The sequence below is a fragment of the Homo sapiens genome, chromosome 2 (genome assembly GCF_000001405.40).
Source record: "Homo sapiens chromosome 2, GRCh38.p14 Primary Assembly".
NCBI lineage: Eukaryota > Metazoa > Chordata > Mammalia > Primates > Hominidae > Homo > Homo sapiens.
The window spans coordinates 19,453,145-19,477,926 of NC_000002.12; the positions used below are offsets into that span (position 1 = coordinate 19,453,145).

General features: G+C 39.9%; 2 long non-coding RNA genes across 6 annotated transcripts in view; one reads left to right on the plus strand and one right to left on the minus strand.

Moving 5' to 3' along the window:
* Positions 1–5,059: 5,059 nt before the first annotated feature.
* Positions 5,060–15,817, minus strand: LOC101928196 (uncharacterized). Its single transcript, NR_187653.1, has 3 exons — positions 15,592–15,817; positions 15,210–15,353; positions 5,060–6,176 (listed from the first exon to the last, which is right to left on the minus strand). It is a non-coding gene; the product is annotated as an uncharacterized LOC101928196 (long non-coding RNA).
* LINC01808 (long intergenic non-protein coding RNA 1808) overlaps positions 15,785–24,782 on the plus strand; it is a 52,275-nt gene continuing 43,277 nt past the window's right edge. For 3 of the 5 annotated variants that reach the window (NR_183420.1, NR_183421.1, NR_183422.1), the window contains exons 1-2: positions 16,196–16,286; positions 22,307–22,468. This is a non-coding gene — a long non-coding RNA (long intergenic non-protein coding RNA 1808). Of the gene's footprint in view, positions 15,937–16,195; positions 16,287–22,306; positions 22,469–24,782 lie in introns of those variants that run through there. The other 2 variants (NR_183418.1, NR_183419.1) reach the window with 1 other exon arrangement.

The following is a 24,782-nucleotide window of genomic DNA, read 5'->3' on the forward strand; positions in this document are numbered from 1 at the left end:
GTGAGTAGCCATTACCTGTATCAAATACCCAGGATTGCCTTTGCTAAACAGTTAAAAGCAGGTGGAATGATGGCCTCTGTTTGGGATATCTTTGTTTCAGACTTAAAGTCTGAAGATAACAAATAAAAAGTTCTAACACTCCCACTTTGTGTCATATAGGCAGGAAATTCTTCCAATATATTTATAATTTATTGAGAAAGATATATTGATCTCTTCCATCATGATTGTGAATTTACATATATGTCCTTGTTCTCACTCATAAGTGGGAGTTGAACAATGAGAACACATGGACACAGGGAGGGGAACATCACACACTGAGGCCGGTCAGGAGGTGGGGGGAAAGGGGACGGAAAGCATTAGGACAAATACCTAATGCATGCAGGTCTTAAAATCTAGATGATGGGTTGATAGGTGCAAAAAACCACCATGGCACATGTATACCTATGTAACAAACCTGCACGTTCAGCACATGTTCTTTAAATTCCATCAAATTTTGCTGTTTTTGAAGGTATGTTATTAAGTGTAAGCAAATTTCAAATTGTTACACTATAATAGTGGATTAATCATTTTATCAGTAAGAAATGGATTTATCTGTATAATGCTTCTTGCCTTAGAGAAGATTGGTAATAGTGTAGCCATATCATCTTTCTTTTGATTAAGGTTTGCATCAGTGGTGTAAATGTTAAAACAAAGTTTTAACAGTCAAAATTTCTGAATGTTTCACAACCTTTCAAGCCCTTAATAGCTGGCTCCAGTATACTACTGGTTTGCCTAATATAGCTTTTCCATACTTTTACTTTCAATAGTTTTGCCTCCTTATATTTAAAGTGCATCTCCTCTGAGCAGTATATGGTTGGACTTTTTACAAAATCTAGCTTAATCTTTTTTGTTTGTTTGTTTTCTCAAGGAAAACTCTCACTCTATCACCTAGGCTGGAGTGCAGCAGCATAATCATAGCTCACTGTAGCCTTGACCTCCAGGGCTCAAGTGATCCTTCCACCTCAACCTCTCAAGTAGTTGGAACTACACATGTATACCATTATGCCCACCTAATTTGTTATTTTATTTTTTTGTAGAGATGGGGTCTTGCTGTGCTGCCCAGGCTGGCCTTGAACTCCTTGGCTCAACCGATCCTCTTGCCTCAGCCGCCCAAAGTGCTGGGATTACAGGTGTGAGCCTCTGGCCTACTTTAGTCTTTTAATTAGGATATATAGGCCATTTACATTTAATGGAACTACTAAAATATTTAGGTTTATATTAATATCTGTTTTTTCATCTTTCACATTAATTTTGATCCCCTTTTCTCCTTTTTTGGCCTTTCTTTGGCTTAATCAAGTATTCCCTATGACCTATTACCACTTCTATTAGCTCATTAAGTAAACATTCATTTAGTTTTGTTTCAGTGGTTATCTTGAAGACTACAGTGTCCTTTTTTTTATTTGTTAGAAACTAATACAAATTTGTGCTTCTACCACTTCACTGATGTTGAAAGAGCCTTGGAAATCTTGAACTTTTGAATGTTGAGATTTAAAAGGCCCTGTATCTGGGGTCCTCCAAGACTATCCCAAGTTTTTATTACTCACTAGGAGGATTCACAGAACTCAGAATATAGTTATGCTAATAGCTATGATTGATTACAGCAAAATGATACAAAACAAAATCAGCAAAGGGAAAATGTACATATAGCAGAGTTCGGAGGGAACTAGACACAACCTTCCAAGAGTCCTTTCCCAGTGGAATTATATAAGAAGTGCTTAATTCCTGTAGCAACAAGTTGTAACAACACTTGTCAAATGCTTGTCTACCAGGAAAGCTCATTAGAGACTTACCACCCAGGGTATTTATTAAATATTGGTCATATAGACAACTTCCGTCTAGCATGTACCAAAATTTCAGACTTCCAGAAGGAAACTAGGTGTTCAGCATAAACCATATGGTTCACACAAACTCTTTACACACAGTGAGCCACTACTATTGGCTCAGGAAATGGTGGGAACCCTACTAAAATCCAAGTTTCCAAATGCAGAGGCAACCTTGCAAGCAGGCCTTTCTAATGATAGCAGTCTAAGGACTGTTATATTAGTTCTTCTATTGCACAACCCTCTGTATCCTTCCTGTTATTGTTACCATATATTTTATTTCTACATACATTGTAAATCTCATTAAATATTATTGTTATTTTTTTTCTGGTGTCAATATTAATTTAGATTTACCCATATATTTAACCATTCTATTGTTCTTCATTTCTTCTTGCATTTTCTGTGTTTCTGACTGAAAGATTCCCTTAAGTATTTCCTGCAGGGAAACGAGTCAGGAATGAGTTCTCTCAGCTTTTGTCAGGAATACCTTTATTTGTTATTTGTTTTTGAGTATTTTTTTTACTGGCTATAGAATTCTGACAGCTTTTATTTTGTTTCAGCACTTTAGAGCTATCATTCCATTGTCACATAGTTCCCTTCATTTCTGTTGAGAAGTGAACTGTTAAAGTTGCTGTTTCAAAAGTAACATATCATTTTTCCCTTTGGCTATATTTATTATTTTCTCTTTATTTTTTGTTTTGACAGTTTTACTCCGATATGCCTAGGTTTTGGATTTGCAGTGCTTCTTGAATCAATTCTCAGCCATTTTTCTTCAAGTATTGCCTCTGCCTCATTCTCTCTTTAATTATGCTAGGTTTAGACTAATGACTCTCAATTTGGAAAATTTTGTCCCTAGGACAAAATATCCATACAACAAATAATTATTTGGCTCAAAATACCAATAGTGCAGAGGTTCAGAAACTCTGTGTTAAGATTTTTCACCATATTTTATGTGTCTCTGACATTATTTTCTGTAATTCTTATGCTTTTTTTGTCTTCAGGCTTCACTGTTAATATTTCCTATTAACCTATCTGCTAGCTTACTGAGCTCCTCTTTAGCTCTGTCTAATCTGCTGTTCACCTATTTCTTAATATCAGATATTAAAACTTTATTCCTAAAATTTTCCATTTGATTATTTTAAAAAGAATCCAATTCTATAATGAAATTCTTCATATTGCCATCTATTTTATTAAACATATTAATTAAAATTATTTTTAAACTCATATCTAATAATTTGAATATCTGGGTCACATATCTCTTTCTCTTGTTTATTAATTTATTGATCTTATTACTTAGCATGCCTAATCATTTTTTGTTGAATGTCAGATATTGTGTGTGAAAATTTTTAATGCTTTGAATAATGCAGTATTCTTTCAGAGGGGATTCAGTCTCCCTTCTGAAGGCAGGAGGAGACAGATTGTTTCAATCTAATCATAGATGGAACTGACTTGAGACTGATTTGCATCATTGGAAAACTTGGTCTACCTCTGCTTGTAGAATATAACCTTCCAGTGGTCCCAGCTTAGAGCCTGAAGTGTCTGCAATGACTCCTCCTCTTTTTCAAGTTTTAAACCCAATTTTTAAAAAATTTCTTGGTACCATGTGACTGCCAGAGACTGCTCTGCTTTTCGGTTGTTACTGTTTAGCTTTGCAGCCTCTTGCCCTATATAGCTTAATTATCAAATGCCCAGAGAATAAAAATGGTGCCAAATATCAGGCTCCCTTTTCTGCACCTTTCTTCTCTCCAGGATTTTAGCCCTCACATTTTAGCTGTCTTGGAAATCCAGAATTCCAACCTTTTGTTCCCTACACCTTATCATTGCCTAAAGCTGTACCACTTCTCTGACCATTAGAAGTGCTCCTCTGATGGGCTAATGGGAAGGTTGCAGATACTAGGATGAAATCACTCTTGGCAGGCCCAAACAAACTGAAGCTGGGAAAGCATGAAGACAGAGAGCTAATGCTTGTATGTCTGAAACAAGATCGTCCCAAGGACTTTTTAAAATAATCTCATGAGAAATTCTTTCATGTCCTTTAAGCATCTCATGCTTTTTATTACCTACATTTTGCATGCATGCACATATTTCTATGACCAGATTTAACACTAGACATTCTTTAGGACTGCAGCAATTCAGATAAAATGTTCTCAGAAGAACACTTGCCTAGTAATGGCATCTCCACCAATGAACTGATGCCAATTCCAGCTTTGAGCCTACAGAACCAATAAAAGTCTTTCTAAGTAGCTTATGTAAACCTCTCCCTTTTTGCCAAATAAAAGCTTCCTCTTACCTTCCCCTCTTCAGGTGCACCTGAGACTTGCTATAGCTGTGCATCCCAGGTTATAATCCTCTTTGCTTACTCTTGAATAAAATCATTAAATTAAGAGGTAAGTTTTTGGTTTTTTTGTTTGTTTGTTTTTGAAACTGAGTCTTTCTCTGTCGGTGGTGTGATCTTGGCTCACTGCAACCTCTGCCTCCTGGGTTCAAGGGATTCTCCTGCCTCAGCCTACCGAGTAGTTGGGATTACAGGTGCATGCCACCACACCCTGCTAATTTTTTGTATTTTTAGCAGAGACAGGGTTTCACCATGTTGGCCAGGCTGGTCCCCTGACCTCAAGTGATCCACCCACCTTGGCCTCCCAAAGTGCTGGGATTACAGGCCGGAGCCACCATGCCCAGCCCTAAGAGATAGTTTTCTCTGATGTTTTTTTTTTTTTGAGGTTGACACTTATCCCATACTAAAAATTGCCAAATGTCCTGACTAGAAAAGCAGGATATTCACCTCACTGAGCTTCCTTTCTTCCTGTGTGTGGCCCTTTGAGTCCTTGTGTTAGTAGTGCCATCATGCCTTTAGACACTTCTAAAAATCAACCTTCTCTTTTGGTTGTTCCTGGCAAGAGTTTTAAGTCTGCCACAAACTACTACATCATAGCCAGAAGTATAAGTCTATATTTAGAAATTAGGTTAGACATAAGGAAAATACTTATGTATTATTCTGTGACTATTATTGGATACTACACTGAGTCATCAGAGGTAAAAGTAGACTCCTGCCTCATTTAAAAGCTGGAGGAAACTCCCAGGGACCTGCAATAAGTAAAGAGGCATATATCATAGGGAGGGGTGCAGAAAAAGGGGCAGCAACACAAAATAATTTTTCATGATTTCTTGTGACTCTATGGATCTCTCAATTCTGCTAATACTTGAACATTCAGAACGTGGACACAACCATGTGTTTTATTCCTGCAGTTCTCATTTTGGTTTGCACATAATGCAGAGATAGACAATTGCGACCTAAAGTAGAAGAATGAAAATATAAGAGCTCTATGTTTGCATAATGTCTCCAGTTTGATTATAGTCACGAAATACAGTATATTTGTACTTTTTACTTTAAATCCCATGAGTGGTCTAAATTTTTTTTAAAAAAATATGTTTTCAGAATAAGGAGATTTAAAAAGGATTTCATATAGTCTAGGAATTTCAACTAAGGTTTTCCAGCAACATCACACTCATACCACCTCAGGCATTTGCCAATCTGTTATAAAAGAAAAACCCTATGTGTAGTCACATACAGTCATTGAAAGAGCCTTAGGCATACTTCCTGTGTAAATTGAGTGTGCATATTAAGTGGGAAGTGAATGGTACATGTGCGAAATCTTGGTTATTCAGTTTAAGGCCCAGAGAGATTATTAACATAGCTTTGCAGGCTCTGTGCAGCATAGTCAGAGATGACCATTTCCCTGAGATGGATTCAGGTAGAGGGAGCCCTGCCAGGAGGAGGCCTGAACACTGCAGGGGCAGCAGCCTGCTTCCTTTCTGCAACAGCTTGCTGCCTGGCATTGTTGGGGTTGGGAGTGCAGGGGTGCAGGGGAGACAACAGGCACTTCTGTAAAAGTGGTTCCAGTGTGTGGTAGGAGACTTTTTTCTCCATCTCCTCCTCTCTGGTCCATCTCTTTCAGATGAGCCCTGAGCCTGTGGGCTTAGAATTTATGAAGCTAATTTGCAAGGGAGCTTGATGTGGTACTAACAACCCTGAACTGTGGGTTCTGATGCCCTTAGCTAATTATCTGACCTTGGGTTAGTCCTCCCCTTTCTTTGCCTGATTGTTCTCTATCCTAAACGAAGAGGTATGAGTGAATGATCCTAACAATCGCATGCAGCTGAAACAGCTTTGGGTTCAGGACTCCCTTTGGACAGTTAAAGACTCAGGGCAGCAGGAAAGGCATCTGATTACTTCAGTGGAGTCTTCCCTGTGATGAACTTCTCAATAGGACGGAGCTTTTAGCTTTTCTTCAGCCTTCTGCCATTCAGCATTTTGCCCTGGAGGTAAAAATATAGTTCTATGTCTTGTGCATTTCTTTTTTTTTTCTCATTTCACCACATAATCCTGAGCATAACTGAAAACATAACTCATTATCTACTCAACATCAAAATGTAGGTTACAATTCTTACAATGGTCAGTTTAAAAATTATCTTTCTGTAACACATGCAAAGCTGAGCTCCCTAGTGTTCCAGTTCAATGTACAATCAATTCAGAAGAGATTGCAAACAATTCTGATTATTTATTGAAGTCTAAGAAAATGGCAAAGAGGTATAACAAAATGCAACATATAGGAAACAATTCTTCAAAATTTGCTTTAAATCATTATCTTTCCAACGTTCTGCCCATCACAGCATGGTGAAAACAGAGAAAACCTGTTTTCTCACTGCTTCCGTACTACAAAAAGTGCTCCTAAAATTCAACTCTCAGTGGCTCTCACCTTCCTCTAGCTTTCTGCCATCTTTTCACATTTCTAGGTCTCTGCTTTCCCCCACCGCTTTGCCCTTCCATAATGTAAGTCAATTCAGCTTGTCTTAGTTTCATTTCAGTCCTCTTTTTGCCAGTTAACCACACTGACACCACAAACCCCAGGGCCTGGAAGACACAGTAGAACACTCCTTTAGAAGTCTATGCTTGTTTGCTGGCGGTGGGATGGGGGTCAGAAATGGGAACAAGGGTCCAGATATATTATTCTTAAAGCCCTTTAAAAGTATCTGTCATAGGGTGGGCAATGTGGCACATACCTGTAATCCCAGCAATTTGGGAGGCCAAGGTGGGCAGGTCACTCGCACCCAGGAGTTTAAGAGCAACCTGGGCTACATGGTAAAACCCTGTCTCTACAAAAAATACAAACACTAGCTGAGCATTGGTGCTGCATGCCTGTAGTTCCAGCCACTTTGGAGGCCAAGGTGGGAGGATCGCTTGAGCCCAAGAGGTCAAGGCTGCAGTGAGCCATGATCATGCCACTGTACTTCAGCCTGGGCAACAGAGTGAGACCCTGTCTCAAAAAATATATCTATCTGCCTATCATATTTGTGTTATGACAGCTCATTAATAGTTTTTTTAAAAAGCTACAAGGTAACAAAAATTCTTTTTGGCCACACTTTACTGCTCATTTGCTTATAAAATCCACTTTTAGCAAAGAACCCTGCTAAATCAGTTTAGCAAGAACCCTCACCTTCACTATCTCATCACCCTGGATAGGTGTTCAGTTTCCTCATCCTCCATCCACCATCCCCAGGTGATGTCTGATCACCCTGGCCTGCCTTCAGCAAGAATTCTCTTAAGTCAATTTAGCCACAGTCCCCCTTACCCCTGATGTTTCCTCTTGGTAATGTTCTATCCTCTGACCTCCACCCTGCTCCTTGGCTATAAAGTTCCACTTGCCCACGCTGCATTTGGAATTGAACCCAAGACCCCATTGCAGTGGTCCCTGTGATTATCACGATGGTGCTAAATAGTCTTACTTTGCTTTAACAGTATCATTGAATCATGTTTTTTAGCAAAGCCACAGACCAGTACAGGTCCATGGCCTGTTAGGAACTGTGCCACACAGCAGGAGGTGAACAGTGGGCAAGTGAGCATGACCGCTTGAGCTCTGCCTTCTGTCAGATCAGCAGAGGCATTAGATTCTCATAGGAGCCGAAAGACTATTGTGAACTGCGCATGCGAGGGATCCAGATTGTGTGCTCCATATGGGAATCTAAAGCCTGATAATCTGAGGTGGAAGAGCTTCATCCCTCAAACCATCCCCCTCCCCCTGCAACTGCCCCCAGTCCATGGAAAAATGTTCTTCCATGAAACCAGTCCCTGGAGCCATAAAGTTGGGGACTGCTGCATTAGGGAACTCAGGTGCAGAAAGGTTAAATCACTTGCCCAACTACTTACACTGATAGGGTGAGAACTTGACTCTAGGTATTTTGATTTCAAATTCCAGAAATTTACCACCTCACTGAACTTCCCCTAACTTTATTATTTTTCTTTTCACATGCACACAAACATACATGGATGTGTGAGCATGCTCATGCAAGCATGCACACACACACACACACACACACACACACACAGACACAGAAACTAATTGAAACACAGCCAGATATTATTACATATGTTCAGAGTGTTCTATATATGTACACACAATCATGTATTAAATAAACGAAATCCACATAGCCTCTCAGTTTCTGTTTCTAGAAGAAGCCCTGACCTTATAACAGAATAAATACTACTGCTGGGTCAGAGAAATGGAGCTAGCCTCATGCTTCCCCCTGCACTGACATGCTTTGTTTTTCAAAGCAATTTCCATTTACATTACTATTATTTTCATTGTCTTGATCATCCAAACCTCAAAGGAAAGAGGCTAATGATATTCCCCTAGCCCCCACTCCTCACACTCATGCTGAGAATGGAAGCAGCTCAGATTGACTGAATTGACTCTGCAAACCCTTCAGGAACATTAATGGAGTTGCTACTATAAACAGCTGGAGTTGCCATTTGCATCTCACTCTGTCTTCCTTTTTTTCCTTAAAAAATTTTTTTAGAAAAGCACCCACAACACCCTGGGGGAATTTTCCGGGACAAGTTGCAGGTGCTATGGATATGTTCATTTAATAATCATTCTTGCAATTCAGCACATTTGTAATCCATGTGGTAAATTCTGACTTACATTTCTCCCAGTGGACACCGGCCAGATGCAGAAACCAAAGAGCTTGGTGCCGGTACTGCCTCTTCCTTCTTTTATAGTTTGTGCATTTGGATGTGTTTAGCATGATCTGCGAGTGCAGGGTAAGGAATGTGCTGTGCTTAAAAGACCCTTTTGTTGACATTAAGCAATCATAAATATATGCAGCACTTATACGCCTTGCCTTTAGTGTGGAGTGCTTTAATTGGATGGTCTTCTCATGTGATATCATAAAGAACATATGCATATTTGTGGCAATTCCATTGGATCTTGAAGAAGCGAGGCACATACAGAGCAGCACATTCCTAACATCTATGGATTGCCTCATATATGTCACCACATCTTCCCACCAGGCTTGCTTTCCCTACACTCCAAGATGGTAACTTCCCAATCTGTCCAAATTCTATTTGGAATCCTCCTGGACTGTGTAAATGTCAAGGCCAGTTTCCTTTCCATGTGAACAGCTTTGAAAGGAGAACTGCATGCCTTACTCCCTCATAAATACAAGCCAGAGCATCTTCTTTTTTTTTCTAAGAGGAGGAGGGAATGAAAGGGGGTGTTTGGCCAAAAGTTAAAAAAGAAATCCCTTTTCAAGAATGACGTTCTCCTTATTTTCACCACATAAACAAAATGTTTAAGCCTGCACAGAGCCAGGTTTCAAATAGTGGATTTTTCTGGATAAGTCATTCTGCTGCTGCACTAAGATACAATCTCTTAAGGCAGCAAACTCCATCAGGGGGCAAACGTCACCACCTGCATGCCTGGGAGAGGGTACAGTCATGGCCCTGGGAGAAAACAGATGGTGCCCTCAAAGGAATAATACAAGAGATGTTAACAGGGACTGTGTTCAGGAGTGTGAAGAGAGTTAAGGGAACCAGTAAAGAATGGGAGCTCTCGGCCGGGGGCAGTGGCTCATGCCTGTAATCCCAGCACTTTGGGAGGCCAAGGCGGACGGATCATCTGAGGTCGGGAGTTCGAGACAAGACTGACCAACATGGAGAAACCCCCTACTAAAAATACAAAAAATTAGCCGGGTGTGGTGGCACATGCCTGTAATCCCAGCTACTGGGAAAGCTGAGGCAGCAGAATTGCTTGAACCTGGGAGGCGGAGGTTGCAGTGAACTGAGATCACGTCTCAAAAAAAAAAGAATGGGCATTCTCTAGGACAAAATGAAGTAGAAAGCAGGAAGATTTCAGGAATAATAAGTATCCAAACTCCTTTTTCCTTCCTGCTCCCAACCCCTTACTGTGCCTCCCATTGGCCAAAACCAACCAGTAGCCAGAGGTCAAGGAAGGGGGTGTCCAGAGGGGTAGAGGGGCAGACAAGCTGGCAGCAGGTGTGAGGCCTCAGGCACTGAGTACTCCTGCTCATCTACATAAAATCAATCACATCTATTTCTCACAGCAACTCTATGGGGCAGTCGTAACTTGCATAGGACAGACAGGGAAACAAAGGTGGGAAAAATAAAGCAACTTGCTCAACCTCGCGTAGTTAGATGATGGAGTTTCCAGCGAAAGAATTGCTAGCCTTCTGCGTAACAAGGTGACTGACGGGGCTTAAACAAGCATGGTCCTACACAGAAACCTGGCCATTCTTTCATTGGAAAGGTCTGTTTAGGTCTGGAAATCTTCAGTCTCAGGTTGTGAAACATTATCCACATCAGATGGTTCGTGGATTTCAGATAGACAGGAATGAGAGCTCAGATACTGAGAGATGTCAGGCCATCTAAAAAAAAGCTATCTACATCTATTTAGTGTCTTAGTTTAGACAGCAATAATTCAGATAATGAGAATTTAGATAGCAAGGGCTATCAGGCAACCTGAAACAATAGAAATACATTCAGAAGAAAAGCAAGAGCCTCTGGAAACACTCTCTTATACAATAGTCACAAGCTTAGATATTCATGAAAACCTCTGGGACAGTATCTACCCTGAATTCCTGCCTTCGTTACCTTGACCTGGGAAACTATATGGGGTTTCAGTTGTATGGATTTGGAGGATGGCGTAGGAAAATGTATTTATTTCCTGCTCAGTACAGAAAAAATATTGCAAACTTTAAAATCACAGCATAAAATCATATGTCTGCAAAAAGACAAGGATTTGTTCATTTTTCTTTCTTTTTTTTTTTTTTTTTTTTTTTGAGATGGAGTCTTGCTCTGTCACCCAGGCTGGTGTGATCTTGGCTCCCGAGATGGAGTCTTGCTCTGTCACCCAGGCTGGTGCGAACTTGGCTCCCTGCAAGCTCCGCCTCCCGGGTTCATGCCTCAGCCTCCTGAGTAGCTGGGACTACAGGCGCCTGCCACCATGCCCGGCTAATTTCTTATTTTTGTATTTTTAGTAGAGACAGGGTTTCACCATGTTGGCCAGGATGGTCTCGATCTCCTGACCTCGTGGTCCGCCCGCCTCGGCCTCCCAAAGTGCTGGGACATTGTTCTTAAGTCACACCCTTTTCATGCTTATGCATCTCATGTCATCATTGATTTTAAAATACACAGTTTTTAAAAAAAACCTTTGAACTACTCTGTAATATTAAGCATCTTACAGTTGATAGTGTGATAGTGTTTACTTGACAGTATTTGTTCTTTTTACTGGTATATAAAATCATATTGTGTCTTTCAACTGATAGCTACCTAGATTTGATAGAATATGGTATTATTGGTGCAGGTTAGTTAGCGGGCATTTTGCTCCTCTTTGCACTGAGGTTGTGGTGAGCCCAGCCAAAGGGTTGGTGCCTGGACTGGGCTTATTCTTGTTTCTTTTCACTCTCTTGGGCCAACCTGGAGCTCTGGCCAAGCCTGGGGTTCAATGAGTTGATTCTGGTGTGGGAGCAGCTAGGGTTGGCTCACAGCTTTGGGGTGTCATGCAGGGAGAAAGGAAAGTGAGTCTCTTTGGGGAAGGTGGCCTTGAGAATAAAAAGTCAGTCTGAAATCCAAAATATAGTAGAGGTGGAAACAGGCAGTGACTGAGTGGGGCAGAGCGATTAGAGCAAAATGCACAGTAAAGGAACTGCATCTCAGGTCAAGTGCAGGCAGTGGAGGCACGTGTTTGAGAGAGTCAGGACCCCAGAAAGCAAGCCACTGGAGGGGTCACCTTCTCCTATGACCTGTAGTCCTTCTTCTTAACAATCTTCATTTGATCTCAACTTTGAACCGGTTGCTAAAACGAAGAGAGATTCTGAAAATACGTTCTACTTCTGTTTTTTTTTTTTCAATCTCCATTATATCACCATAAACACATCTGATAAAATGGAGATAAACCCTGAAAACAGCTGCTTCTCATGGTTTCTTCTGGTGAGGTAAGGGACCCCTTGGTGATGGAGGTAGAAGATCAATTGATGCCACAATACCCCTGGCTCAGGCGTGTGCCATACAGGGTGGGCCTCTCATTGGTGCCAGGCTCCTCCCAAGCCCTCTGATTTCCCTTTGGCACTGGGGGTCCATATTTGTTGGCCCGGGGTTTCCATAACAAAACACAGTACTACAGATTGAGTTGCTTAAACAACAGAAGTTTGCTTTCTCATTGCTCTGTTCCGGAGGCTGGAAGTCCACAATCAAGGTGTCAGCAGGGGTGATTTCTTCTGAAGGCTCTCTACTTGGCTTGGGGACAGCATCTTCTCATTTTGTCTTCACGTGGTCTTTTCTGTTTGCATCTGTGATGTCTCTATTTATGTCCACGTTCCTTCTTTTTTATAAGGACACCAATCACATCAGATTAGAATCCATCCTAATGGCTTCATTTAACTGAATCACCTCTTTAAAGATCCTGTCTCCGAATACAGTCAGATTTTGAGGTACTCAGGTTTAGAGCTTCAACATATGAATTTTGAAGGGACACAGTTTAGCCCATAACAGGTCCCATAGAGATTACAGCAACTAATTTTAAGTTTTTCCTTAAGATTCATTTGCATTTTATCCTTTTTTTGGTTAAGATTAATCTGAATTTATAAGCTGCTATGTTTTTGAGACAGAAAGTTTTTTTCTTCTTCTGATATTTCCACACAAAAGGACACAGCATTTGCCCTCTCTTCTTTTCATTTAGCTATGTTTCCTTATACAGAGTTGCTGGGAATATCTGTTTTTATGTGCTGCAATTATTCATGTGGAAGACAGTAATGTGCCAAATTTTGAGCCATTTCCCAAACATGTGCAATGTGTTCAAAGGCCAGGTAATTCCAAGAAGTCATCAGCCTCTATTATTCCTCTAAAGGGACTACTTTATGCATCCCTGTGAGTAATCAGGGCCCATTAAGCCTATGAGAACAGGCTGTGTGAGCAGAGAGCAGAGAAAGAGAAAAAGATTATTAGAGAAGAAATAATATTTTTAAAAGCATATCCTGACTTCCCAAGAAAATCAGAACAGAATCAAAACCTTCAGAAACTGGAATTGGAGCTCAAGTAAATAACCAAGATTTTTAAAGTTATTACTGTGTGTTCACTCATATGCAAGGTGCTGGGCAGATAAAAAAATTCAACGGCTTCCACCATTTCTTGTTCCATCTCATTTTGGCAAAGAGTCAATCATATCCAGATTAAGACATCCTTAAGTATCTTTAAGTTCAGAGGACTCAGTGAAATGAACATGCTTTTGTCTTAAAATAATGATAGAAAATGCCATTCTATATATTTAAGCACAATGTACTTTAGCCATAAATAACAAGAGCCTGGGTTATAAGTATTTAAGGATTTACTAAGAGTGTATTCAAGGAGAAGCAAGATCAAAGTCAGAGATGTCCCAGGAATGAAAGTAAACCATTGTCAGGTGAATGAGATTAGAAGCCCTCCCATACTTTTCTCTCCAGCCCTGCTGTTGCCACTCTTAAATTTCATGCTTCAATTACTCTTTCATGGGAAATTACAGGTGGCACCTAATTGTTTTCCCTACCTCTGGTCTTTGACCTGCTAATCCATCCTATTCACAGCAGCTGATCGCCATTCTGGAAGCACTTCTCTGATCTGTCAGTTCATTCCTCAAGAGTCTCTCCCAGTGCCCCCACTGACTAATGAATAAAGCTCATATACATTCTGGAAGTCAAGGCCCTTTATGATTTGACACCAGCGAACCTTCCCAATGTCATCTCTCATCCCCCCCTATTATAAACCTTGTCCTTCAGCCTGGAAATCCCTGAACCCAGCTGTAGTTATGGTCCCAAGAGCAGCCTGTTAAATGTATGAGTGCTCAGGTCCACCCCTATAGAAACCACTACATTGAGCTGGGTCTGTAAGTCTGGTAGAGCCCAGGAATCTCCCCTTTAGCAGGACCCCATCAATACTGATGTACATCCAGTTTGGATATTCCAGCCAAACCAAACCTTTGTTTTTCACTTGAAAAATCTTCTGTGTGTTTCCCCTGGTTCATCTCCACCATGAAACCAACTTCCTCTGACTCCACATCCCCTTTATCCCACCATCTTGAATTTTCTACCAGCAGCTGCAAAGTTTCTCTCCCTCTTAACTCTCACTTAGTGTGTCCCTACCTTCCATACAGTCCATCTCACTTTCTATTACCTTACATTTTAATTATTTTTATACATGGTTTACCTCCCCATGAGATTATATGCTTTTTGAAGGCAAATTTCATGTCTAATTTGCCTCTCCAGAACCAATAAAAAAGCCTGGAAAAAAAATGACATATGGTAGGTATCTCTTGAATCAATAGGGTTTGCTAGACTTGGTAGCCCTAAATCTCTTTGAGAGGAAAAAGGCCAATAAATTTTTTTTTGTTTCTATAAATATTGGAATCCTGTCTTTTTACTATAAGCTCAAGCAGAAACCAATATTCTTTGAAATGAAAAATGTCACACCAGATGAGTGAGTCATGGAATTTCAGAATCTCCTTCACACCTTTTATAAGGTACATAAACATGGTGCTATCTTTCTGTTGTTCATTTGGAGGAAATATATGTATTTTCCTCACAAAAACACTTTTGTTCTCATTTGATGAAAATAATCTATAGGAAGTTAGCAGGATGAACTGTCATTCATTCATAAGAATCGAAGGTAATAAATTAACAATCACCTTGAATTAACGCATTTAGATAATCACTTAATCTTTGGGGGTTAATCTTCCATTTCTGAATATCTAAGATTAACTACCCCATAGAGCTTAAGCTCTATTTTAAGGAAGACACACCCCTGACTGGAGAGAGAGCCCTCGGAGAAGGAATCCTCAGATTTCTCACACCTGTGTTTTTTCATTGCTCCTATGGAGAGCTTAGGTTGGTGGACATTGGGAGCTTGAACTGCTCCTTGGGGAGGTTTTGCTGGAACAGTAGTTATTAAATAGCTAAAATGTCATGGGCAATAGATCTAGGTTACAAAGACAATACAAACAAAGGTTTCCAAAGTAATGTCCCCACCTGTAACTGAAGGCAGCAATGATGAATATAATCCCAAACAGCAGGCAATATAAAAAAAGAGTTGCTGAGCTCTGGAATGTATTATAAGAAGTCCTTGAATTCCTGTTTAGCCCATTCAAAACTTTCTCTTCATTTTACCAAATCCTGAAATGTAATATTCTTGTAATGAGTGCATATCTCATCCTCTATTTTTTTTAATCAAAAGAGAAAATAGTTTAAAATTCCAGGAAAGCTTTTTTTTTTTTTTTTTTTTTTGAGACGGAGTCTCGCTCTGTCGCCCAGGCTGGAGTGCAGTGGCGGGATCTCGGCTCACTGCAAGCTCCGCCTCCCGGGTTCACGCCATTCTCCTGCCTCAGCCTCCCAAGTAGCTGTACCCATTTACCTTCTATTATAATCTGATCTCCCTCATATAGACACAAACACAGTTCTTCTAAATACTAAGATGGCAAATTATCCCCTCAAAGATCTTGAAGTTTTTAAGGCAAGATGATCTTCAAAATAATTATTGTAAGTTTAACTGTTTAAAGGTTCAATTAATGCTTACTTCAGTTATTAATGACTTATAAGAAATTATTTCAAGGTATAGCAGTCTAACACAACCCTTTATTACGTTCATGGATTTTGTGTTTCAGGAGTTCGAACAGGGCAGAGGAAGAACGGCACTTCTGACATCAGAGGCTCCAGCTGAAAGGTTCCAAATCTAGGAGCTGGAGTCCATGACTCACAGGTCTTATAGTTGATGCTAGCTTTTGGCTGAAGCCTCAATTCGTCTTCAGTGGGCCTCTCCCTATTGGCTAAAATTTGGGCTTCCTCACAGCATGGTGGCAAGATTCTAAGGGCAGGAATCCAGAGAGAGAAAGGGCCAAGCAGAAGCCATATTGTCTTCGATGACCTGGCCTCAAAAATCATGCAATACCTTTCATTCATTGAGGCCGTCACAAAGCTCCACCCATTCTCAATGGGAGAGAAATAAATACTGACTCTCAATGGGGAGTGGGAAGGTTCTGGGAGGGCATATGGCACCCAGAATATGGCTGTAGGCATTTGTAAATGGGGTTGTTGACATTGAGCTTTCAGGTAGGTGATGTGGTTGGCTATTTTGCAGTGAGCCCCTGGTTTTGGTCTTTTCTTTGGGGATAATCAGATTTTTAAAAGTATGTTCTTTCATTTTCTTGCTTAGGGAATTCTAGGAGACTTGTTAGGGAATTCTAGGAGACTTGTTAGGGCTGGGGGTTAAAATAGGTCTGGGGAACTCAGCATTCAATATTTAATGCGTATACCTTATTTTCAGTAGGATAGCCCATCTTAACTGTACTAACGCCTGTGCCAGCCAACCCCCATCCCAGGTTTCTCTGTTCTACCCTCTTCAGATGATAAACCTCTAGAGTGGAGGAAGGTCAGTTACCCAGTGGCATAGAACTTGGAAGAAAACCTAAACATCTGACTGCTTTGCCAGAAGTTTTCACACAATTCTTTATATTTTCTTTTCCACCATCATGCCCAGTTACAAAGGAAACTGGAGCTGTCCTGTCCTGAGAATTCCAGAGATTTTGAAGAATCTGTGGGTGGGTAACACATTGATTCCCAGCTCTCTCCACTCTGGTTTTGGATTCCACTGTTTTGGTTTTCATAACTCATTTACTGTTGCTTCATATGCTTTCCAGCTTCCAAAATGTATGGCTGTTGTCTTCTCGCTTTATTTCCTAGTCCTTTGAATCTCTTTCCTATGGCTTTGGTAGGGTTTTGAAAAATGTGAGTTTAGCATATTTGAACTGCCATTTTAACCTAAGAGTCTCTTCAGTCTCTTTCAACCATTGTTCAGGTGATATCATTAGCAAACCCCTAAAGACCAAATTCTTTCAACATGCTCCAGGTTTTCAACAACTCTCTTAAAGCATGGTAGTGCTGTAAACTGAATTTCAGGTATATTCTAACCAGTACAGATGACAATAGTTAGTTCTCTTGTTCCAGGCACTCAACTCAGCACCTTTCAAACTGTGTTAGTGCAGTGGCATCCCTCAAATCATTAATAAGTGGTCTGAAAAAAAGCTTGAGGAATATTATGTTGCATTCTGTTCAATGTTTATCATATTATGAATCAAGAAAAGTGTGCTTAATTTGTTTTTATTTAATATTTCCAAAACAGTTGACTATATAATCCCTTTTTTCGGAGAACATTTTGTAAGATTCTAATGTAATGTCCCTCAAAGTGGGTTAACCAACTACCTGCATTAGAATCATTGAGAGTTCATTTACATATTTGGATACCCTTGGTCCTATTCCAGATCTTGAATCAGACTAGGCCTTAGGAATCTGCATTTTACATCAAACAACATATGCAATTTTTGTGCTGCTTAACATTACTGGGAGACTATGCCTAACTATTTGAACCTTTATCCTGAGGAACTTCCACAGAGGAACAGTTTTTCAGCCCCTCTCCATGCCTCACATATTCTACTCTTTAGGAATGACTTTTCTGAGTGGTAAACTTGGAAAAACACAATACTAATGCTTGGTCTAGCCCCTACCTCTCACTCCTCTCTTTGGGATCTGCTTATTTGCCAGAAGGGTGCATTTTACTCTGTGGGGTGGGCTATGTGCTGAGGGAGGAATCTCATAATTATCTGGTTGTTCCAAAGATTGGGCAGAAAAATGTATGTAATAAAGAATTAAAACAATAGAAAATTCACTTACAATGTTAAAGGTGGAGGCTTAGTCTTCATAGAGCTATGCCCGTCTCTCAATTGGTTCTGAACCAATCTCTCCATTGGTTCAAAGGCATGTTACATATTGAGTCCCCTCAAATCCTGAATGTATATTTGAAGATAATTGACCTATAGGCAAGTTTCAAAAAATACAACATAGGTACGTCATGCAATGCAGTGGAAAACACATGGCTATTCATTTTACTTTTTTAAAAAAAAATTTGCATTCGTGGGAAGAGCGGACAAGGTAAAGCAGCAGTGACTGAAATTCATCTATTTGGAAGTAATTCCAAAGGATTTGAAAATAGCCAGATCCATCTTCATATTTCTTTTAAGATCCCTCTTAAGACAAGCAGAGAGATAGGAGAACAGAGTGTGTAACATCTGGTTTGTTTAGGGATAAGAAGGGTGCAGCGGAGGGAGTTCTTGGAAGCATTCTTAAAGGATGTGGTAGGAGAGCACCTGGAAAAGCCTACTTTATTGAAGGGAGGCTTCAAGGACCCAGGCAGAGGAGGTCATGTTTAACAAATCGGATGGAGTTTCTTGAAGATATCCCTGTCATGAAAGATGAAGGAGATTTAGTGGCTGTATGAAGAGTGCTTTGATTTTTAAACAAGATTTGACAAGATCCACATCCGGGATTAATGGTCAAGGGGAAGAGCTATTGAACATGGGTAATGTAGGGTGCAAGAGAAAAAACTGGCTCAAGAAAGGGAGATGGATGAAAGACAGGGAAGGGTTTTGTGATTTACTCCTATCCCCTCCTCCCCGTGGATGGAGGAGCATTTATCCCTTACGGTGACTTAGATATATTACTAATGGAGGAGGGGATAGTAGTAAGAGAAAATGGTCAGCCAGATTTGGGATAGATTTTGTAATATGTATTACATATTACAAACAACAGAACAACTACACTGAGTCTTGAGATGATTCAGAAACTTAGACCCAGCAATTGTAGCAAATCATACCCAATAGGGATAGTGATGTTTGGCTGTGACATCGTGGCTTGGGCAGAGGGATAGAAACCAATCCAAACCAAAGAGATGAGGATTAATAAACCAAAGTAGGGAACAATTAGCCCAGTGACATTTCCTGAGGATGGAGTTTTAGATGATTGTAAAGTCAGCCAAGTTGGTCTTTGGTGTTCCCAGCCTTTTTTTTGGGAGTACTCTCCTATTCTCACACTCTCCCCTCTTTCTCCTATAAAAATCTAATGTCAGTAAAATATCTAACTCACCAAAGGGATAAATGCTTAGAGAGAGTTCAAGGCATTATTCTTCCTCTGGGTATTTACATTTTAATGGGAGTTTTACAATTGAAATCAAAGTATTATAGCTGTTGTGATGGAATTTCAATGAAGCGTTTGGGGAGGACACAGTAGGGTTATTACTTGTCCCAGAAGTCACTCATGGCTGTTGTCTCCTGCACCTGGTGGTAAAATCATTGTTAGTTCTGCCAAACAGTATTCTGGCCTACAATTCTTAAGAAAAAGTAAAATCATTGAAAATAGAGCTTTAAAAACTGGATTTGTGGTTGAAAAAACAGTATTGACAGGCTTCGGCCAAAGGAGCTGATGGGATGACATTATGGTATGGGAATAGGAAGGAGAAAACGGCAACAGAGAAGGGAGCTGAGGCCCAGAGACATTCACACACTGACCAACCTCTGAATGCCTTTAGCCCCCAACACTCTCACCATCATCCTCATTGAAATCCTGCCCCATTCAAATGCTACTTCAGAGACACCCACACACTGACCAGGGTCTGAGTGCCTTTAGCTCCCAACACCCTCACTATCATACTCATTAAAATCCTGCCCCATTCAAATGCTACTTCTTCTATATAGGAAAAGAAATTGTGTACTGTTCATTTTCTTGTTGCTAACAACAGTAGAAGTAGGGAGACGGAGTGTTTTCTATAATGAATTCTCCTGTAAATCCAAGCAGAAAAGAGGAAAAGGAAGGAGACAGTAAAGTGGGCACTAACCCTGCATTCTGCCTCCAAGGTCCTTCTTGATGATTTGGCATCCTGGAAAGACACAATTACTGGAAAGCGGCAAGCGTTTTCCTGTAGAAATTTATTAAATTTCTTTCTGAGGATACAGGAGTGTGGGAGGTACGATTATAGAGGAAGAGACTGTAGTATACCATTCAGCAGCCTTAACTAGCAAAAAACACAGCTGAGAGTTCAATATGAAGAAGGGGTCTGAGCTTTTAAAAGGCTGTAAAACAACCCATGAACTTTATTCATGGAAAAGTTTTTCACACCCCCATTTAGAGTTCAATTTGACTTTACTACATTGTTTAAATTAACTATCTAGTTTCTCATCCCAGAGATTAAAGCAGAAAATTAACAGAGTGGCCTAAGCTAACTTGGTAGAAAAGGCAAGGAAAACATGTTAAAAGGACACAGGGACTTTAAGAAACGCAGCTGTCTGAGGCTATTTTGGTCTGGGACAGAGCCTTAACTGCTCAGTGTGTCCTGGGGCCTCACTGTCTCAGAGCAGATTTTTCCACCTTGCCCTCTACTTCCATCCCTTCAGTTCATCCATTCCAGCCGCAATGGCCTTGCTGATCCGCGACGCACCAAGCCTGTTCTCAGTTCAGTGCCTCTGCATTGCCCTTGCCTCTGCCTGTGAAACTCCAAGGCAACACTTCATACGGCCAGCCCCTTCTCTGTTCTCCATCCCTTCACTCTTTCTTAAATAGCCACTCTCAATCTGCATTTTCTTTACAAATGCTCTATTTTCTTTACAAATAATTACCACTTGAATTTATTTGATTTATATGCTTTTCTGCTTATTTATTTCCTGCTTCTCCCCTTTGAATGAAACCTCCATGAAAAGAGGAATCTTGCCTAGCTTGGTCACTATTCTACCCCAGGTCCCAGAAAGGCATGGAGCAGCCACACTATAAATGATTGTAAAGAACTAGTAAGCGAGGAGTCCCCAGTGATACCGCAGAGTCTTCCCAATAAGGTTGCGTTATAATCAGTTTCCTCTTTCTATAAAGACAGGGAGATTTATGTACATTTTATAAATCTTATAGCCACAATGAATTATTTGTTTTTATTTACGGAAATTCTCAGTTATCTGGAAAGATCTGACACTGTGAAAAGGTCCCTTCTGCAATACGGATACCAAGGAGGATTTTAGGTTGTGAAAAGAGAAGTGGTTGCTTGTTTTCTCTCGCTAGATGAAAGGAGGCCACAAATCTTTTTGCAGTTCCACTAAAGAGCCAATAAAATAGAAACGCAACACACATGTGCCAAGAGTTCAACAACAAGGCGGAAGTGGCTTAGGTTTGTGGTCTGTTACCACATGACAACATTGAGTTGGGGCCAAGGCATTTTCTGCTCTTTGCAGTCTCTGCATGTTGAAAGGCTCTACTTCGGAATGAACAAGGGATAGACATGTCACAGAAGAGTAACTCCGTGATCGGCACAGGGGTGTGAAAGGATCAGGGAAGACATGTTTCAGCAAATAGAAAAGTTAGGGAATTTAAAGTTTCCCTACACAAGAGTAAGCAAATTATGGCCCAGAAGGCAAATTCAGCCCGCTGTCTTTTTTCTTGGCAGTTTTAGAAGTTTTTATTTTCCCAAATGGGCTTTTATGAATTGAAAAAAAAAAGTTCCAATATTCACTTGGAAACTTACTAGTTCCTAGGAAATAAAATTAGTGTGGCATAAAGGAAAGGACATTAGTCTGTGAGTCAGGGGGCCTAAGTTGTCCTGACTCTTTTACTAACTAGTTACTTCTGCTGTCTGGTTTTGTAAATAAAGTATTATTGGAATACATCATACATTTATTTATGTATCATCCATAGATATTTTCACACTATAACAGTAGAGTCGAGTAGTTGTGAAGGAGACCACATAGCCCTCAAAGCCTAAAATATTTACCATCCGGTTCTTAATATTATAGATAAGAAAATTGCCAGCATTTGCCCTATACTATGAGTACAAAAATAAATATGTTATACCATATGAAATTGCTTATATTTGATCTAAACAACTGAAATTTCACATAATTCAATTTAATAGTTTGTTCTTTTAAATCTCTTCTTCAATGTCCATCTCAGAACCATCTCATCCATAAAGCTTCTTCCAAATAGACTGGAGCACTCTGGTTTCTCAATCCCCATGGGACTTTGCTCATTATGTTTGGCTGATTCCATGCTTCTATAATAGTCATTAGATGTATCGCTTCCCCTCTACTACTGGAAATACTGTTATAGGCTTAATTGTGCCCCTACCCCCAAATTCATATGTTGAAGCCCCAACCCCTAGTACCTCAGAATGTGACTGTATTTGGAGATAGAGTCTTTAAAAGGTAATTTAGGTAAATGAGGTCCTTAGGGTGGATCCCAATCCAATCTGAGTGATGTACTTATAGGAAGAGAAGATTAAGACACAGAGATACCAGAGAGGTCGTTCACAGAGGAAAGACCATGTGAAGACGCAGTGAGAAGGTGGCCATATTCAAGCTGAGGAGAGAGACCTCAGAAGAAACCAATACTGCCAACGCCTTGGTCTTGGACTTCCAGCCTCCAGAACTGTGAGACAATAAATTTCTGTTGTTTAAGCCTCCCAGTCTGTGCTATTTTGCATGGCAGCCCTAACAAACTAATATAGCCACTCAAGAGTAGAAGTTATTTCTTAGAAACTCCTATTTTAGTCCCCAACGTTCAATGGAAACATGAGTTCATAACTCCAAGTTAACAAACCATGAACTATTGCATTAAATCCACATCCATTATCCCATATGTAAATGTCATGAAGGTCAATGTACACAGCTCCATATAACTGCATTCCCAATAGCCATATGTCTGTCTAGTATTCATTGACTAAGCTTTATAGAATTTAGTAAAGCAAGGTGCATAACTTGGTGTGTCTGGGGTCTAAATTGGTGAATCTAGGCATTGAGGACCAGAATACTGTTTAGCAGAACCAACATTGGTTCTCCAAAGTTTCTAGAATGTAAATAAGAAGTTTCTACACAGAAATGTCCTAGAAGACTCTAGAATTATTCATTCAGTGAACATTTATCAACTGCCAGGCAAAAAAGTCAACTTACAGATCTCTGCTCACTTACTCTTTTCAGTGAAAATTGAAAAAGCTCACCACCTCTTTCTTAGTGTACTGAGGGAGAGAAAGGAATAACTAGTAAGCTGGATGAGAGCTCTGTCAATTAGAATAACAGGCCCTTGGTAGCCAATTCCAAATAACAATCTTCAGGGGAGCCCAATAATAAACATTAAACAGAAATATTAAATATGTAGTTCTAATTTACATTCCAGATGTCAGAATCTGCAAAAATGGGCAATGCAACAAAGATCAGACCATATGAGGAGCCAAGCTTCCCTGGTTTATCCAAAATCTGTTGAGTAAAAAGTGCAACTGCTTCACATGGGACTGTAGCCAAATTCAACCTGAGAGAACACATTTTGCAAACATCCTCCAAATGTAGAAGCTTTCCTGATTGTTCATTTCTAAATGAACAAATAAGAGGTTTCAGTATGAACAATGTCCAGATGCCCCAGAAGCCTGCTCTGTTTGCCAATTCCATTGACCAAACACACATTCTATTCCTTTTGGATTTCATTGGCAGCCCACGGTGAGAAGCACCGTTTTATCTATGAAAAACTTTACCAACTTAAAGCTTGATGAGGAGATATATGAGGAGAGACCACTGGGCATTCTGATGAATTGAAAGTCAGAAGTTATTGAGCATAGTCAGATCTGATCTTTCCCAGACCCATACATTTCACCCAGGGAATTCCCATACAATTATGGGAAAACCTGAACCACATTATCCCTAACCAACTCCAAATTTAATGGTGTGAGGAACACTCCACCTTGAAACAAAGCAAAGGCTTATAAAACACATGGCTGCTATGGTCTGACTTCTCAATAGAGGGCTGGTTATCTTTTCAATAATAAGTTCTTAAGCATCTCTGAAAAATAATGCCCACTTGCCAATCTGCCTTTGGTCACTGGATCAAGAAAAAGAAAAGTGTTCCTAAATTGATTCTCCAACCCCTTTCTCTCTGTGTGTGATGAGATTGTTCCTAAAAAATCTAAACTCCTATTTTTAGTCCCCCACCTTCAATAGAAACATGACTTGGTAACTCCAAGTGAACAAATCATTAATCATTGCATTAAATCCACATCCATTATCCCACATGTAAATGTCATGAAGGTGAATGTACACAGCTCTATGTAACTACATAGCTTAGAAACTAAGACAAACATATTCTTTTTATTAAGTTAGTAATCTGGATTTCAGGGGAAATTATTTTTTATGCAGACTTGTCAAGATTATACAAATAATCAATTTTCCAGGTAATTTACAATCTTCAGAGTGTGTGGGCCTTTGAAAATAAAAATTCATGTGTAATTCTCCCTGTGGCCTGAATTTTGAGTGCACCAAATCCATATTATCTAAAGACAATGCTCATTACATTACACACCCTTATATCACCAATATTTGACCACCACTCCACCCAGAACTTTCCATGGCCCTTTACTCCCAATTCCATTGAAACTAAATTTCTCAGTTTAGTTGTCATAGTTTTTCACAGTACTTCTCCAGTTGGATTCACCAATTCTCCAAAATATACCTGTTGTTTAAGTCAAGCAAATTTCCTCTATGTCTACAAATAAATCATGCTTACTCTAGAGTCTTTTCCTTGTATTTCTTCCTTTCATTTGAAAGATTTCTTCTAAACTTCAGATCCAGCTTAAGATGTAATTTATTGAAAGTTGCATTTTTCAACCAACACCCTCACATTCATCTTTTCTCCTTTGCCTTCGAACATCACTAATCCTCTGTATCACATGATTTAGTAATGACTTATGTTTCAAAAACT